Source organism: Homo sapiens, chromosome 13 (genome assembly GCF_000001405.40).
Source record: "Homo sapiens chromosome 13, GRCh38.p14 Primary Assembly".
Taxonomy (NCBI): domain Eukaryota; kingdom Metazoa; phylum Chordata; class Mammalia; order Primates; family Hominidae; genus Homo; species Homo sapiens.
Window position 1 is genome coordinate 75,270,880 of NC_000013.11, and position 19,263 is coordinate 75,290,142.

General features: G+C 38.4%; 1 protein-coding gene across 11 annotated transcripts in view; it reads right to left on the bottom strand.

The window, feature by feature from the left end:
• The window catches only part of TBC1D4 (TBC1 domain family member 4), a 198,667-nt gene continuing 192,027 nt past the window's right edge, over positions 12,624 to 19,263 (bottom strand). For 9 of the 11 annotated variants that reach the window (XM_047430811.1, XM_047430810.1, XM_011535331.3 and 6 more), the window contains 2 exons: positions 18,055 to 18,231; positions 12,624 to 16,146 (listed from right to left, as the gene is read on the bottom strand). In XM_047430811.1, the coding sequence (XP_047286767.1) occupies positions 15,913 to 16,146; positions 18,055 to 18,231 (411 nt within the window). In that variant the 3' untranslated portion in view covers positions 12,624 to 15,912. The remainder of the gene's footprint in view (positions 16,147 to 18,054; positions 18,232 to 19,263) is intronic. The other 2 variants (NM_001286659.2, NM_001286658.2) reach the window with 1 other exon arrangement.

Genomic DNA, 19,263 nt, shown 5'->3' on the forward strand with positions numbered 1-19,263 from the left:
CTGCCTCAGCTTCCCAAGTAGCTGGGATTACAGGCACATGCCACCACGCCCGGCTAATTTTTCTGCTTTTAGTAGAAATGGGGTTTCATCGTCTTGGCCTGTCTGGTCTTGAACTCCTGACCTCGTGATCCACCCATCTTGGGCTCCCAAAGTGCTGGAATTACAGGCGTGAGCCACCGCACCCGGCCTCTTAATAACTCTTTTGTCCACTTCCTCCAGGCTCAGGAAGAACAAAGAGATGAAGAAATACAATTGTAAGAAAGTATATTTTCCAAATTTCTGTGATAATTTCTTGTATCTGCACTCATATTAATATTTTATCTGGTAATCCTTTCATAGAAACAGTATGTGAAGTGCATTTTGATTCTTTGAGTGAATGGGACAGTTTATCCCAGGGCATACTTAACCGATAAATTTAGTTTCAAGGGAAATGGGAAGAAAACCAAGCATATTAACTCACTCAAGTCACTGGTACCTCCCTTCCTGCCTTGCCCTGTGATTTTAAACATAAGTACTATTAAAGGACTAATGAATGCTCTAATTACATAAGCTTTAATAGATGAATTAAAGAATGAATGGTGATTTCTCCCTATAAGTACCCAATTTACTATACAAAAGCTAAATTAGGGAGCGGAGGAGAGGGGACTGGAATAATAACTGTTCACTAGACAAAATAGAATATAAATGTATAAAGAAAAATAAATAGGCCCAAGTTGGTGAAAGTCAACATAGGAAATGCCCTCATTTCATTTTGAGATGTCACACTCCTGAGACATCCCTGAATATAGAGCATAAGATGTATTTTAACTGAAATAATCCTTTCTATATAATATCATAGTCTATTGAGAACAACATCTGTGAATTTGCAAATTAACTCAATTTGAGAAGGCAAAGAACATCAGACCACATAAGCTTTTACTTTGCAAAAGAGAACTTGAATATTAGTGATATTTGACTAGCTCTTAGAAAAACAATCTCCCATGTATGCAAAAGAAGCACTATTATTAAGAAAATCAGTTTGCCCAACATCCAACCTGTACATTCTAGGATTTTTTTCTACATAATAACAGTAGCAAGAAATCACCCAAAAATGTCATTTACCCTGGTAAGTTTTTTTCCAGTTGGGCCCTTGAAGGCTCAGCAGTTTGATTTCATCAGCACACAAACCACAGATTCATTCTTCATGGGTGGACTCACAAAAACCAAGCTCCTGAGACTAATGTATTTGTACACCCATGTCCATAGCAGCATTTTTCATAATAGCCAAAAGGTGGAAGCAACTCAGGTGTCGCTTTAAGAGAAATGAAAAAATAAAAAGTGGTATATATGCACACAATGGAATTTTATTCAGCCTTAAAAAGGAAAGACGTGCTCACACATGCTACAACCTAGATGACCCTTGAAGACATTATGCTAGGTAAGACAAATCAGTCACAAAAGGACAAATGCTGTATGATTCCACTTCAGTGAGGTGCCCACAGTAGTCACATTCATAGACAAAGGAGAATGGTGGTTACCAGGGGCTGGGGAAGGGGTGACTGGAGACTCAATGTTCAGTGGGTACAGAGTTTCAATTTTGCAAGCTGAAAAGAGTTCTGGGGATGGATGATAGTGATGGTTTCACAAGAAAGTAAATGTAGTTAATGCCATTGAACTCTACACTTAAAAATGATTAAGATGGTAAATTTTATGTTGCATATATTTTACCATAATTCTAAAAATTGGAAATCCCTGTTTTAAGTTGATATTGAAAAACAGAACTGTTTCAGGGACTTGAATATAGGGAGTTTTAAAACTAGACTAACCTTTCTCTATGACATCCAGAAAAGCTAAATCCTAAATGGAAAGTTGCTCTGAGGGCGTAGATTTCGAACAAGGGGAGTACAATGAGTTGGATGTTTAGGACATGTGTCTATCACAGATGACATCAATCTTACAATGGGGACAGACTTGTCAGAGGAGCCAGAACGCTTGTATTCTGGAGGCCAGGTCTCCCTGTATTCAATTTCACAATAAAGGGCAGCTTTGCCAGGGATCTTGGCTAAGGTTCCCTCCACCTGGATCTGCCCAAACTGCCTGGTTTTCTTTCTTCTATATTTCTAAGGCTAAACAATTCTTTTCTAATTAACCTAATCCTTCTTTAGCTGTGCAAACATATTCAATTAGATCACAGTCAAAGCTTTCAGATCCAGGAAGTATTCTGTCTAAAGCGACCTTGTAGATGAGAGCAAAATTATTGATTTCACTTCAAAGAATATCACATTTCCCTTATTTATGAGGTTTTAGAGAATACCTCATTGTAGTGCCCAGGTATTAATATTTATAGACCTCATGCACCTGATAGTAAATAAAATATTTAGTTCAATCCCAATGTTTTCTACATTGTATTATTGTAGGAATAGTAACTAGGAGAGTCAACACTGCCTGTATCCCTAGGCACCAATTACAGTAGGAAATGATGGGAATTACTGGGAGATCTGAGATAGATATAACTTTGGGAAAAGAGGACTGGAGAAAGAAAATAGAAATTAAGTATAAGATAAGCAAAGTAAGAAGGTAAGAAAACAAAAGAGAAAATAATAGCATGTACCCCTTATAATAGTTTCCCTCATAAGCAGTTTTTCTTTCCAGGACTTCAGTTATCTGAGGTCAACTGAGGTCTGAAAATATTAAATGAAAAATTCCACAAGTTATCTGGGGCCAACTGAGGTCTGAAAATATTAACGAACAATCCCACATATAAATAATTCATACATTTTATATCACACACTGTTCTGAGTCATGTGATGAAATCTCACACTGTCCCACTCTGTCCCATCTAGGACATGAACTGACCCTTTGTCTGGCATATCCACGCTGTCTACACTCCTTGCGTTACTGGATGAAGGTGTCCCAGTTCTTGGTGTCTTGAACAAAGAATTGGACAAAATGCACAAACAAAGCAAGGAAAGAATGAAGCAACAAAAGCAGAGATTTACTGAAAATGAAAGTACACTCCACAGGGTGGGAGCGGGCTGCAGCATAGGGGCTCGAGGGCTCCTTTACAGAAATTTCTGGGGTTTAAATATCCTCTGGAGGTTTCCATTGGTTACTTGGTGTACACCCTATGTCAACAAAGAGGATGAAGTAAAGTTACAAAGTCATTTACACAGTGTGAGCCCTATGTAAATGGAGAGGATATTTCCTGTCATAGCTGAAGTGTTTCCATTTGATTTAGTTCTAGGAAGTCAGCATGAATCAGGCTTATGTTCCCTGCCTCCAGACCCTATTCTCCTGCCTCACTTGCCTGTGAGTCCCGCAGTAGCTCTCTTGGTTACCAGATCACCTGTTGAGCCATCGCTGTGCTTCTGCTCAAGCAACCCTTATTTTACTTAATAATGGCCCCTAAGCTGAAGAATAGTGATACTGGCAATTCAGATATTCCAAAGAGAAGCTGTCAAGTGCTACCTGCAAGTCAAAAGGTGAAACTTTTCAACTGAAGGAAGAAAAAAATTCATATGCTGAGGTTATGAAGACAACTGAGTTTATTGCCTATCACAGTAAGGGAGAACACCAACTCAACAGAGCTTTGGTTGTGTCTCAGAGGGGAAGTTTTGTTTGGGGGGGTGTATTTCAATGTAGTTCTTGATTAAGACAGGGTGAAAATCATGATATAATAATAATATGATTGGTGGAAAGAGCAAGTGTGAAATTTGAGATGAGGGGGTTCAGAGAAGCTTGGGATATAAACTGTCTATTGAAAAGTTCATGGGTCTTTTGGGATGTTCCTGTAATGAACAATGAAATAATTTGCCTGGATAAGAATGCTTTAGAATTATAAAATTATATCAATGTAGACAATGGAATAGTAAAAGCATGTTAATATAGACCATAAATAGTGTGGGATACATGGTGTCAGTTCTCAGTATAATATGTATACCGTATCATATGTAATATATTTTATCAGCTGCTACATTACACAACTCCAGGGAGCACCATCCACATTATAGTCTATGTAAGTGATGTTCTGGGATTATTCAGTGCAAATACCCTATTATATTAATAGCTTGTATCACAATATATTTAATGTGAAGTAGGAGATATGCCATAATATACTGCATTGGATATAACTTGTACATAGCACAAGCATGTAACATATTTACAATGAAGGGCAAAGCACTAGAACACTTTTACAATTTACAAAGTGTGACTTTGCCTGCTCCTTTTTGCTTTTTCATAAAAATTGTGCTTTTATCAGATGAGAACTGACACAGAGAATTCCAGAGAGAGAGATTTTTGAGGTCCTACAATCTAGCAGTGTCTGACCCATCCATACTAGGCCATCAAGAAACATAAAGTGCTAGACATAACTACATCTATCTCTCCAAAGTCCATTAACATGTTTTTCTGGCAGGTTAAAGATGAAGTTAGCTTTTTGTTTTTTATTTATTTTTTATTTTTTTTATTATACTTTAAGTTTTAGGGTACATGTGCACAATGTGCAGGTTTGTTACATATATATACATGTGCCATGTTGGTGTGCTGCACCCATTAACTCATCATTTACATTAGGTATATCTCCTAATGCTATCCCTCCCCCCTCCCCCCACCCCACGACAGGCCACGGTGTGTGATGTTCCCCTTCCTGTGTCCAAGTGTTCTCATTGTTCCATTCCCACCTGCAAGTGAGAACATGCAGTGTTGGTTTTTTGTCCATGCGATAGTTTGCTGAGAATGATGGTTTCCAGCTTCATCCATGTCCCTACAAAGGACATGAACTCATCCTTTTTTATGGCTGCATAGTATTCCATGGTGTATATGTGCCACATTTTCTTAATCCGGTCTATCATTGATGGACACTTGGGTTGGTTCCAAGTCTTTGCTCTTGTGAATAGTGCCACAATAAACATATGTGTGCAAGTGTCTTTTTAGCAGCATGATTTATAATCCTTTGGGTATATACCCAGTAATGGGATGCCTGGGTCAAATGGTATTTCTAGTTCTAGATCTTTGAGGAATCACCACACTGTCTTCCACAATGGTTGAACTAGTTTACAGTCCCACCAACAGTGTAAAACTGTTCCTATTTCTCCACATCCTCTCCAGCACCTGTTGTTTCCTGACTTTTTAATGATCGCCATTCAAACTGGTGTGAGATGGTATCTCATTGTGGTTTTGATGTGCATTTCTCTGATAGCCAGTGATGATGAACATTTTTTCATGTGTCTGTTGGCTGTATAAATGTCTTCTTTTGAGAAGTGTCTGTTCATATCCTTTGCCCACTTTTTGATGGGGTTGTTTTATTCTTGTAAATATGTTTGAGTTCTTTGTACATTCTGGATATTAGCCCTTTGTCAGATGAGTAGGTTGCAAAAATTTTCTCCCATTCTGTAGGTTGCCTGTTCACTCTGATGATAGTTTCTTTTGCTGTGCAGAAGCTCTTTAGTTTAATCAGATCCCATTTGTTAATTTTGGCTTTTGTTGCCATTGCTTTTGGTGTTTTAGACATGAAGTCCTTGCCTATGCCTATGTCCTGAATGGTACTGCCTAAGTTTTCTTCTAGGGTTTTTATGGTTTTAGGTCTAACATTTAAGTCTTTGATCCATCTTGAATTAATTTTCGTATAAGGCGTAAGGAAGGGAACCAGTTCAACTTTCTACATATGGCTAGCCAGTTTTCCCAGCACCATTTATTAAATAGGGAATCCTTTCCCCATTTCTTGTTTTTGTCAGATTTGTCAAAGATCAGATAGTTGTAGATGTGTGTATTATTTCTGAGGGCTCTGTTCTGTTCCATTGGTCTATATTTCTGTTTGGTACTAGTACCATGCTGTTTTGGTTACCGTAGCCTTGTAGTATAGTTTGAAGTCAGGTAGCATGATGCCTCCAGCTTTGTTCTTTTGGCTTAGGATTGACTTGGCAATGCAGGCTCTTTTTTGGTTCCATATGAACTTTAAAGTAGTTATTTCCAATTCTGTGAAGAAAGTCATTGGTAGCTTGATGGGGATGGCATTGAATCTATAAATTACCTTGGGCAGTATGGCCATTTTCACGATATTGATTCCTCCTATCCATGAGCATGAATGTTCTTCCATTTGTCTGTGTCCTCTTTTATTTTGTTGAGCAGTGAATTGTAGAGAGAAAGCAGGAGACATCTAAAATTGACACCCTAACATCACAAGTAAAAGAACTAGAGACGCAAGAGCAAACACATTCAAAAGCTAGCAGAAGGCAAGCAATAACTAAGATCAGAGCAGAACTGAAGGAGATACAGACACACACAAAAAAACCCTTCAAAAAAATCAATGAATCCAGGAGCTGGTTTTTTGAAAAGATCAAAAAAATTGATAGACCACTAGCAAGAATAATAAAGAATAAAAGAGAGAAGAATCAAATAGATGCAGCAAAAAAATGATAAAGGGGATATCACCACTGATCCCACAGAAATACAAACTACCATCAGAGACTACTATAAACACCTCTACACAAATAAACTAGAAAATCTAGAAGAAATGGATAAATTCCTGGACACATATACCCTCCCAAGACTAAACCAGGAAGAAGCTGAATCCCTGAATAGACCAATAACAGGCTCTGAAATTGAGGCAACAATTAATAGCCTACCAACCAAAAAAAGTCCAGGACCAGACGGATTCACAGCCGAATTCTACCAGAGGTACAAGCAGGAGCTGGTACCATTCCTTCTGAAACTATTCCAATCAATAGAAAAAGAGGGAATCCTCCCTAACTCATTTTATGAGGCCAGCATCCTCCTGATACCAAAGCCTGGCAGAGATACAACAAAAAAAGAGAATTTTAGACCAATATCCCTGATGAAGATGGATGCAAAAATCCTCAATAAAATACTGGCAAACCAAATCCAGCAGCACATCAAAAAGCTTATCCACTATGATCCAGTGGGCTTAATTCCTGGGATGCAAGGCTGGTTCAACATTCACAAATCAATAAACGTAATCCAGCATATAAACAGAACCAAAGACAAAAACCACATGATTATCTCAATAGATGCAGAAAAGGCCTTTGACAAAATTCAACAGCCTTTCATGCTAAAAATTCTCAATAAATTAGGTATTGATGGGACGTATCTCAAAATAATAAGAGCTATTTATGACAAACCCACAGCCAATATCATACTGAATGGGCAAAAATTGGAAGCATTCGCTTTGAAAACCGGCACAAGACAGGGATGCCCTCTCTCACCACTCCTATTCAACATAGTGTTGGAAGTTCTGGCCAGGGCAATCAGTCAGGAGAAAGAAATAAAGGGTATTCAATTAGGAAAAGAGGAAGTCAAATTGTCCCTGTTTGCAGATGACATGATTGTATATTTAGAAAACCCCATCGTCTCAGCCCAAAATCTCCTTAAGCTGATAAGCAACTTCAGGAAAGTCTCAGGATACAAAATCAATGTGCAAAAATCACAAGCATTCTTATACACCAATAACAGACAAACAGAGAGCCAAATCATGAGTGAACTCCCATTCACAGTTGCTTCATAGAGAATAAAATACCTAGGAATCCAACTTACAAGGGATGTGAAGGACCTCTTCAAGGTTTTTGTATGCATAATGTCATCGGGGGTATTGAGAAATCCATGAAGGTCAGCAGCGCCTTGCTCCCCCATTCCCCTGTACTCCCTCCCAGGTTGCCAGTGATGTGACGCTACTCCTTAGGCTATAGTGGGGGTGTGGTTGGTTCCTCCTATTACAGAGACCCAAGTGTATCCTACAGGAGTGAACCCCAAGGAGTGTGGGAAGAAAGGATCGGCTTGTGCAAAGCAAAAGAAAGGCTGGTTCATGAAACTGATGGATTTTAGCATTTTAGCCATTTGATTTGAGCACAGAACAAGATGGGGCCAGAGGCAGGAGATCATGCTGGACAGGTTATTAAGGACTTGCTCATGAAAAACTGAATGTTTCATTTTAGGAGTTGAACTTCATCCTGGGAGGAAGAAAAAGGCTTTGAAGGCTTTTAAGCTGAGGATGAACTTAATAAGATTTATGTTTTAGGAAGTTCTCTTTGCCAAGGGGAGAAGCACTAATGGCAAGGAGCAATCCAGATTAGAAATGATAACCCATGTTTGGGCATGCTCCCTTTGGCATGACCTCCACTGCTACACTACCTTGAAAGAGAACTTGTATCAAAGGAGATCCGGTTCCACAACATGGAGCACCAAGATATTGACATTGTACTGAATGTCATGAGTAGACTGAAGGGATAATAGCATTTTGCTCCAAAAATCTTCACTTATCTTTGCTATTGGTCTCTTCCTATGCTTCCAGTGAATTCCCTTTCAATTCTGGATCCTTCCTGGCTCTTCTAATGAGCCATTCAGCCCCACCTTCTACTTGCGTTTCTCACTCCACAAAACAAAAAACAACTAGTTCAATATCTGTGGCTTAGGAATTTGCCCTTAGAAGTGGGTGATGGTCTCAGTTTAATCCACTGGAGCAAGAGCATGAATAAACTAAGGTAGCTGCTGCAGGGATTGGGGAAAAGGGGGGACAAATATTTTGCAGACAAAACTATTAAGTTTCAGTGACTGGTATATCAGAAAGAGAAGTAAAGGGCCATTTTCTTTCCCAAAGTCCGCTGCCCTAGATCAGGCTTATACTGTTCTGTTTTGTTCGGCCCTTATTTTTATTGCATTCACCTAATTATACACTCCTACTCTCTAGTTTCTCTTCAAATGTATAAAATGAATTGGAGCAAACCAGATGTCTCTCTCCAGGTTATCAGTCATTAATGGTGCCATTGCCTGCTAGGCAGAACTCAAAACGACCTCACATGGCCTCCAATGGTCTACAAAGACTTTCTTGATAGAGTCCTTGTGTGTCAGGGACTCATCTCCCACTACACCCCCATGTAACTACACTTACTAAGTATACTTACTACACTTCAAAATTAAGGAATGACTTATGATTTATAAACAGTAAGTCGTCACTTACCACCATAGTATGTGGGGGATCGGTCAGAGTGGTGGGAAAAACTATAGGGAAAGGATGCAAACCTTCTGAAAGATCAGAAGGTTCTGCAGAGCCCTGCGGTAGAATAGCTGAAGGCAGCTGTTCTATAACCCTGAGGCAGAGGGTAAGGAGTAGGTTCAAGGGAGTGTGAGGCAATTTATCTTAAACAGGCTTGTTTACTTATGTTGACGAGGAACTGACCTTTGATCATCTGCTTGTGATGTTCCCTGAAAGGAGAACAATAAATGTTAATTACCTGCAGGTTTTGTTGGCTCCAGGTTTTCAGCATTATTCCTGCACTAAAAAAAGCAAGCAGCTCCAGCTGCTTGGAGCTGCACTCTGGCCACTTGAACCAGGCAGTCCCCTAGCTGCTCTTACACTACATACCTGTGTCTGAGTACTCATTTCATCCGTCGGTCAGGGTCTACGGGACAGACCCGGCAATAGTAAGATTCTTGGAAACTGACTTTAAGTGACACAATGTACAAGGAAACCGATTTTATCATAAGCTAATTGATATACACAAAAGTTAAGTTCCTACAGTATGTTTCTGGTCACAAAAACATCACCAAACTTCTAAATGAAGTCCCCAAACACTTCTAATATCAAACACTGAAGTAAATGTGAATTATACATACATTTAAAAAAGATTAATGAAAACAAGTAAGATAATCATTTGCCACCTTTTTGGTGAACTTGCGAGTAACAGCATTTGTCATTGTGGTGGGGAAAATCAAGGAATAAATATTTGCAAATGCAAAAATTGTCAGGAACACCTCCTCCAACCATGAAGTTCAAAAACCATCACAAACATGGAGGGCTTGCTGAGCACTTTCATACTGCATCCGTTAGTGTCATACATGTATTGTAAAGTTTATCAATTTTTATTTTACAATCAGTTGTATTCATTCATTCATTTTCCAACTGGTTTATTCCAGCTCTGGGTCTTGGTTCGCTGGAGCCCATCCCAGCATCTCAGGATCCCAAGCAGGAACCAACCCTGGCCAGCTTGCCATCCCATTGCAGGGCCACTCTTACCTACAATCACTCACAATGCGACCATTTAGACATGTCAGCTCACCTAATTCACATCCTTGAGATCTGGGAGGAAACTCAAACACAGACTAAGGGAGAATGGGCAGACTCCACACAGGCAGTGGCCCTGGCAGGGAATCTACTTTTTTTCTCATGAACGTTGTAATAAAACAACACTTTGAGGATCTGCTGTGCCACCCCCTATCTTTCATATATTGCTTTACACAACCTAGTCAACTTCTACTGCAGCTTTCAGACTCAGATCAAGCATCCCATCCTCAGACCACATTTGATACCCACTCCAATGCCACCCAGTCCCCCATCCAGGCTGAGTGAAATGAGTCTTGTTTTTACTACTTTGCATATCTGTTTTTCCACTATAATGTATAAACTCTCTTGTTTTCTTTTTTATTATTTTTTATTTCAATAGGTTTTTGGAGAACAGGTGGTCTTTGGCTACATGGATAAGTTCTTTACTGGTGATTTCTGAGTTTTGGTGCACCTGTCACCCAAGCAGGGTACATTGCACCCAGTGTGTAGTCTTTTATCCCTTACCCTCCTCCTACCCTTTCCCAAGTCTCCAAAGTCCACTGTATCATTCTTATGCCTTTGCATCCTCATAGCTTAGCTGCTGCTTATGAATGAGAACATATGTTTGGTTTTCCATTCCTCAGTTACTTCACTTAGAATAATGATCTCCAACTCCTTCCAGGTTGCTGCAGATGCCATTATTTCGTTCCTTTTTCATGGCTCAGTAGTATTTCATATACATGTATATATGTGTGTGTGTGTGTAGTGTTCCAGGTATATCTATATATATACATATATAGAATACTATATTCCATGTATATATATACACACACACACATAGAATACTATATTCCATGTGTGTATACACACACACACGCACATATATAGAACACCACGTGTGCACACACACACACACACACACACACACACAGATCTACCATTTGATCTAGCAATCCCACTACAGGGTATCTACCCAGAGGAAAGGAAGTCATAATACAAAAAAGATACTTGCACATGCATGTTTATAGCAGCACAATTTGCAATTGCAAAAATATGGAACCAGCCCAAATGCCCACTGAGTGGATAAAGAAAATGTAATATACACACGCACACACACACAAACTTATATATATGTATATATGTATGTATGTGTATATGTGTGTGCATGTGTATATATGTATGTATATATATCTGTAAGTCAACATATAACTTATTTTCATCTGGGTAGAAACCCAGTAGTGGGTTTGCTGGATCAAATGGCAGATCTACTTTTAGTTCTTTAAGAAATCTTCACACTATTTTCCATAGAGGTTGTCCTAGTTTACATTCCCACCAGCAGTGTAGAAGTATTCCCTTTTCACTACATCCATGCCAACGTCTATTATTTTTTGAGTTTTTGATTATGGCCATTCTTGCAGGAATAAGATGGTATTGTACTGTGGCTTTGATGTGCATTTCCCTGATAATTAGTGATATTGAGCATTTTTTTCCATGTTTGTTGACCATTTGTGTATCCTCTTCTGAGAATTGTCTATTCATGTCCTTAGCCTAATTTTTGATGTGATTGATTTTTTCTTGCTGATTTGAGTTCCTTGTAGATTCTGGATATTAGTCCTTTGTCAGATGTATAGATTGTGAACATTTTCTCCCATTCTGTGGGTTGTCTGTTTACTCTGCTGATTATTTCTTTTGCTGTGCAGAAGCTTTTTAGTTTAATTAATTTCCATCTATTTATCTTTGTTTTTGTTGCATTTGCTTTTGGGTTTCTGGTCATGAAGTCTTTGCCTAAGCCAATGTCTAGAAGAGTTTTTCTAATGTTATCTTCTAGAATTTTTATGATTTCAGGTCTTAGATATAAATCTTGATTTTTGTAAAAGTTGAGAGATGAGGGTCATCCTTTTCTATGTGGCTTGCCAGTTATCCAAGCACCATTTGTTGAATGGGTGTCCTTTTCCCACTTTATGTTTTTGTTTGCTTTATGGAAGATCTGTTGTTGTTTTTGGCTTTATTTCTGGGTTCTCTATTCTGTTCCACTGTCTATGTGCCTATTTTTATACCAGTACCATGCTGTTTTGGTGACTGTAGCCTTGCGGTATGTTTGAAGTCAGGTAATGTGGTGCCTCCAGATTTGTTATTTTTGCTTTGTCTTGTTTGGCTATACAAACTCTTTGAGGACAAGGACTGTATCTTCTCCACCCCTGAATTTCAGGCAGCTAGCCTAGAATAGTCTCAGAAAAACTATTTGTTGAATGAGTAAATAAAAGTGGTGGAACCAAGACACAGATATAAAACTTCTCACCCTAAATCCCGTGCTTTTCTCATTATATCACAGCTAATGAGTAATATAATGAGAGTGTCACATCATGGTAGAAGGACTAAATACTTCATGCCATCAGATGGTAGATTTCTTACTCCTAATCTGGTACTGTGAAAAAATAATTGGTGAAATAGTGACAAAATGGGTAAAAGTCAACATGGATATTAAGAGACTGTACTATTAAGCCTACAGTGCCTCCTTCTCAAAATGCTTAACTACTACATTAAGCAAAAAATAGTTAAAAGTGTTAGTCCTAAAGTTAGCAAGAAGATACAGTGTATTTTTATTGGATTACAAATATACATGAGAATACTCCAAGAGATGCATATTTTATATAAAAACATTCATATCACATCCATCAGTAAATGTCCTTAATTCTTAATTATCTGCGTCCAGTTGGAAAATTTTGTATTTTCTTGTGGCTCTCTCTCCCTTGCTATCTATGAGGGGGCCTGGAAAATAAAAGGGTAGAATGCAAATCTGTCAATGTGGTTGCTTATATTTTTCTTTCAAAAGTCTCCATTGAGAAAGTAAGTTGAAAAATGGTAACAATGTACTTACATAAATGTCTCCTAAATTATCTTTGTTGTCTGACTCTATTAGGAAGAATTATTTGTGTAGCAATTTTAAGTAGGTACAATCCAAACCATGCAGATCTTTTTTGTTTGGTTGTTTGTTTTTCTTTTTTTTTGTCAAAGTCTCACTCTGTGGCCCAGGCTAGAGTGCAGTGGCATGATGGCTCACTGCAAGCTCACTGCAAGCTCCGCCTCCCAGGTTCAAACTATTCTCCAGCCTCCTATAAGTAGCAATATATGCCTCTCCTACTCTCCTGAGTAGCTGAGATTACAGATGCACACCACCACGCCTGGCTAATTTTTGTATTTTCCCTAGAGATGGGGTTTCACCATGCAGATCTTGTAAAGCAGCGGTCTTCAACCTTCTTGACACCAGGGACTGGTTTCATGGAAGACAATCTTTCCACAGACTGGTGGCAGGGGATGGTTTCAGGATGATTCAATGATTCAAGCACATTTATTGTGCACTTTATTTCTATTATTATTATTATATCCTCACCATATTATTATTATATACTCACCATAATGTAGAATTAGTGGGAACCCTGACTGTTTTCCTGCAACTAGACGATCCCATCTGGGGATGATGGGAGACAGTGACAGATCATCAGGCATTCGATTCTCTTAAGGAACACAAAACATAGATCTCCTGCATGCACAGTTCACAATAGGGTTTGCGCTCCTATGAGAATCTAATGCCGTGGCTGATCTGACAGGAGTCAGAGCTCAGGCAGTCATGCTTGCTCGCATGCCCACCACTGCTGTGCAGCCTGGTTCATAACAGGCCACAGACAGGTACCCAGGGACCCCTGCAGTAAAAGACTCTAACCAAGAGCTGCTTCTCTCCCGAAAAGTAACAGTATACGTCAAGAAAGCTGCAGCAATATATTTATTGCAAAGGAACTAGACATTACATTAACCTGATGAAGATGTAACGATGCATGAAGCATAACTGGTGCAACATTTTTTAAAAATCACAAATGAAAAAGAAAATTCATTTTCAAAAGAAAATATTGTATCCAAGTCAGCTTAATCTCTGAACACCATAATATAACTCTTAATGTTGATTCTAAACATCCAGGATAAAGTTTACTTTAAACTGAATAAAAGAAAGAAAAGGTTTCTTTCCGAACTTCCCCAACAGATTCCTTGGCTACCATCGGTGCATCACACCCATAAAGTAATTGTCATCAACAGACCGTAAAAAGAAAAAACCCCTCCTACAAATAGAGAAATTCTCAGGAAATCCAAGCAACAAATCAATTAGTAGCCCCCAATTGAATGGGGCAGACAGAATCAGCATTTTCTAGAACTTAGAAGTTACATTAACTTTATTAATAAGATTTTATTGTCTTTTAAGAAACTGTATGGATTCAAGGGCACACTGAGCTATAACAAGTCATTATATACACACTGGGTAACAGTGCGGAGGGGGTTTCAGATGTTTGTCATCTGTTCATCAAAGCTTTCTGAAACCCCTAGAGCTTTACTATTCTACTCTATAATACATTTTCACTGTGTATAACAAACTCCCTTTGAAGAAAATTACCCCAGATAATCCATCTGTGAAAATACAAGTACTGCAAAAAGCAGTGAGGATAAATACTTTTTGGAAAGGCAAAAATGCTGCATCAACTTTCAGAGGCACTATCATAGAATCATCTCTGAAAAAGAGAACTGCAAATGTACTTTGAAAATTACTTTCCTTGCCTATACCCAGCATGCGTGAATGTCATCTAATGAGCTATTTGTAGGCTGAGGAAGTGAAGAGTTGAAATGCAGAATTGCAGGTTTTAGTTGAGCTGGTAACACTGGTACCACTTTCTTTTTTCCCTTCCAATGGATTTCAACAGTTTGTTCCTAAACATTTCACAGTTCTCAAAACTTTTCACATAAAAGGGGAAGATTATTAAAGCTTATTAGATTCTGTCAATTGGTCAAAAGAAAAAATGTATTTCAACACAGCTTGTCATCTTTGGAAAAAATCAATCATAATTACGTTTCCTTATACTGAATTTAAGGTAGAGAGACCTAAATTACAAGCACTCACAATTTGGTGGGAAAGTGGCAAATCCTTGTCATTTGGTGACTGTGGCACCAAATAAAGAGGAATTCATTCACAACTGAATGAGTTATTCAAATAAAAAAAGCAGAAAGCTAATCTAGACATTTTAGGTCCTAAATTAAATTTTTCAGGTGTGATATTTTTAGTTTGAGTAATAATGCTGGTCTAGTTTGCTAAAAAATTAGCAACATTCTCCTTTACCTTGAGCTGGGTAGACTCAGCCACAATGTCCTACTGTCTCTTTATGTATGTTTAAAGTAATGCCTAACCAGACTCATAATGCATGTAGATGCAACATGCTAGTTGGCACAAAGCAGGCAGGGAGAAATGACCCTACCTTCCCAAAAAACTCACAGGAGCATGACCAGTAATCATTTTCCTCATATAGACAATGTCAGTAGATATCAAGACAGATACACATAAAGTTACATAAATGTTTCCACCTTTTCACCATTGAGTGAAACATGCTGTTCTTTGGAGAAAAAAATACATTCATTTTTTTCAAGTATATTGCAATATACAAAGATGCTCTGGCTTTGTTTCACTATAAAGACAAAAAGATTTCACATATGTCCAAGGGAAATTTCAGTTTACCTTTCCTTTGGTGTGGATTTCATGAAGTTCTGACTAAAAAAATTAATCTAAATATACATCTACTCATTTTATCTGAAAGCATGAACTATGTTCATTTTATATATATATTTATATGTACATAGCAACAACAAAAACCAGTCTACATATGTCCAATGGCTTAGGATTGGCATGCTCTGATGAGCACGAGGTCCACCTGCTGTGACTAGGCGCTCAGCACCAGTATTAGGTGGTTCCATCAGCTTCAGGGTCCAGCCTTGGGCCAGCGACATGCAGGCTCTTCCTCTCTGTAGTATTCTAAGGAGCACTTTCTGCTGAGGCCGTGCCTCTTCAATTATGGCTTATTTCCTATCTTGGCTTTGTTGTTAGGGTTGCAGTTTAGGTCTCTCAGCAACAGGTCACAATTGACTAGAGCATCCGCGGGCAGCAGCTTCCGGAGTTGCTCCACTGTCTTTTGATAAGCCATTTTTTCTTGTTCCAGGGTCCGGATTAAAGACTTCATTTTGGTCTCTCTCGTCAAAAGATTTTCCAGGTTTGATTCCAAGGCCTGGATTTTAGTATGAGCTACCTGTTTGGGGGGGAAAAAATCCTCCAAATCAAATGATTCATTATAGTAGGAGACAGTCCTTACACATATTAACCAATTACTTCAAATTACTTAATAAAATATTATGTGAAGCAAATACTCTGAAAACCTACAGGAAACGATGATTTATTAGGTTTCACAAAGATGTAACTATGGAACTACCATGCTTCATCTCTTCTCACTGAACACACGAATAATTCAATACTAAATCACCCCCCTCACCAACAGTAGGAATCCTTATTCTACACCCACTGGTGTTCCCCTGAGTGAGTGGGATCTGGCCTGGCTGAAGGAGAAACAGGAGATTCCTGACACTATTGCAGTGCTAAAAGAGATTTTCCTTCTCTGACTGAAATACGGCGTTCTCTAAACATACACTTGGGCTTTCATCAGTATTTATAGATGTGAGGGGTGGCCAAGTAACTGATGATGACTACACTGAACTGTCAGTGAAAAAGTCTACAACAGTTCAGACGAATCATTATAAAACAGGTACAAACCCACCTTCCCTAATAAGGGGCAAATAATTAATCGCCATTGACCTATCCAACTAAAAATGGACAATATACTAACCATTTAGTTTTCTTTTTGAAAATAGAGTATGTTGCCCTTTTTTGAATAGAAAAAAAGATTTACATTTTCTATGAGCCAGAGCCAATGTAAGACAAAGCGAAGGAAGTTTAGTGTTCCCATTCTTGGGAAGCAACTACTTTAGAGATCCCTCATTTCTAACCTGTCTCTCTTGACTGGTCTTGACAGGGGACTCACCATATAGAAGCAGAGTTTTAGTGTTTTCCAGTTTGTAGCCAGGTGCAGTGTTGGGGAAATGGAGAGGAGGAGTAAGTGGAAACCGAGGAGCCATTAGACACTGAAACTCCCCTGAAGTCATCTCCCCGAAGACTTCAGAAGGGTCACCTGCTAGCCCCCATCCTGTGATCACTCTTAAGCCCCTCCCCTCAGGGCATGGCTACATAGCACACATCATACAAGTTGCAAATACCGAATATGACTTTATAATAAATTTCTTATTGCATGTATAAGTGTGCGCTTAGAGACAGATATATAGTATTTTATATTCTCAAATAATTGTGAACTCCCTGATGGCAGGAATGATGTATTAATATTACATGTAACATTTGCATGGGATTCAATTTACCTAGACATGTCTCCCTCTCTTCCAATTTCCATTTTAGTCTAGACAACTCTCATCATCCGCAACAGATTTTCACAAGTGACTTTTAGCAGGCCTCCTTACCTTCTCTCCCATCTCAATCTGTCCTCGTCAAGGTTCCCAGATTGATCTTTCTACAGCATGGCCCAAAAACTTTGAGAGATTTCCCTCTTGACAGGATTAAAGCCATGTTCTTTGGCTTGACACTGAAAGTCACTTACGATTCTGCCTCTATCATATTTACCCTACCTCTCCCCAACCTCTATCTTAAATTGACACTAGGCTAACTTTGCTGCTCTGCCATGTCCTTCTGATTGATGCCACCCTCCTACTCAGCCTGACTTAAAGACCCTCCTCACTCATTTCTTCCACCAACCCTCCAGATTCCAGCTCAAGCCCAGGTCCTTCACAACTTCATCAATTTCCTACATTCAATTCCTCCTCCCTTTAATTTAACCAAATATCTATAACATGCAACAGGTATTTAAGCAGATTCCACTTTGAACTGCCATTTAGCTATTTTGTGAGGGTGCATTTTTTTCCAAGTAATGTTTAATTTAACATGTCATTTGTAGCCCCAGAGCACTTGGACAGTCTGATACATGGGCTCTTGGTTAGCAATGGTTCATTCCACGCACATATCCCTTTCATTCCTGAGGTAGTTCTGTGCATGCAGGAGGCATTGAAGTACTTATTTGCTCAAATCTTTATTTCTTTACCTGTAATTTTTCTAGGAGGTCCATGTTTTGTCTTTTCAGTTGGCTATTGGCCCTCTCCAGCTTCTCCAAAGTTTCACTATCCTCACAGGAATATGAAGATTCCTGAAGCTCATCCTGTAGCACATGATATTCCACCTCATAGGCATGCAACTGCTTAGAAATATCCATCTCAAAAACCTGCCATGAAAGTATCATGGGTTAGGCTAGCCTTTGGTATGTATAACAAGATACAGCCTGTTTATCTTGGTATATTTCATGTATATTTCCAAATACTTATTAATGAAGAACATTAAAGCATAAAAAAGCAAAAAAAAAGTGTAACTGTCAATACAAGAATAAATTAGATATAGTTTACACTGTCAACATAAAAACAGATAGCTCTTTCTGTGAAAGAAGATTTTCTTTAAAAACAGAACAGATAGATTATTTCTATGCAATTGAAACATTCTCATGAAGCTAAGTCCCTAGAATAAATTAATGTCCAAGTGTATTTGGCAGCTAAGATATTCATAATCTAGTAACTGTCTCCCAAAATGTAGTATACTAGATAAACAACATTAGTTATTGAGTAATTATTATGTTAGAGATAATCTCTGCTGATTAGTAAGCAAAATTGCATAGGGTATTACTGTAATAAAGCAACCAAAAGCATTTCTAATTTATTTGCCAATGGAGCAGAAAGATCTTAATAAAATTTTGCATCCATTTGCTATTCCCTGTAAGCCTCTTAAGAGTCATTTACATATTGTACCACACAGAGAATCCTCAAAATTGCACACTGTGAGCACTGTCCAGGGCTGTAAGGTTTAATTAGGGCTGCTACTGCTCTCCCATGTCACCACTAAATAGGAAGGTCGTTTGCTTTGAAGCTAGAGGACAGTTACTCCAAACTTCCTAGGGGGAAGGAGAGACAACAGCTGCTATTCAAGCAATGGTGTCTATACTAACACTGAGAAGAGAAAAGAAACCACAAAAAACCTGACTTACTCTACTACTTACTAATAGAGATACTCAAACATTCGAATTTTAATAAGAGAATTTCTAGACTAACTGGTTATCCTCAAATAACCATCATCTTTTCCTTACTTAGTGGGTATGGATACAATGGATTATTATACAACCATTAAAAATGATAATATGGATTTATAGTTACTGGAAAAAATCTAATACTTTATATTTTTAATTATAAATCAGGTTCCACAATAGTAT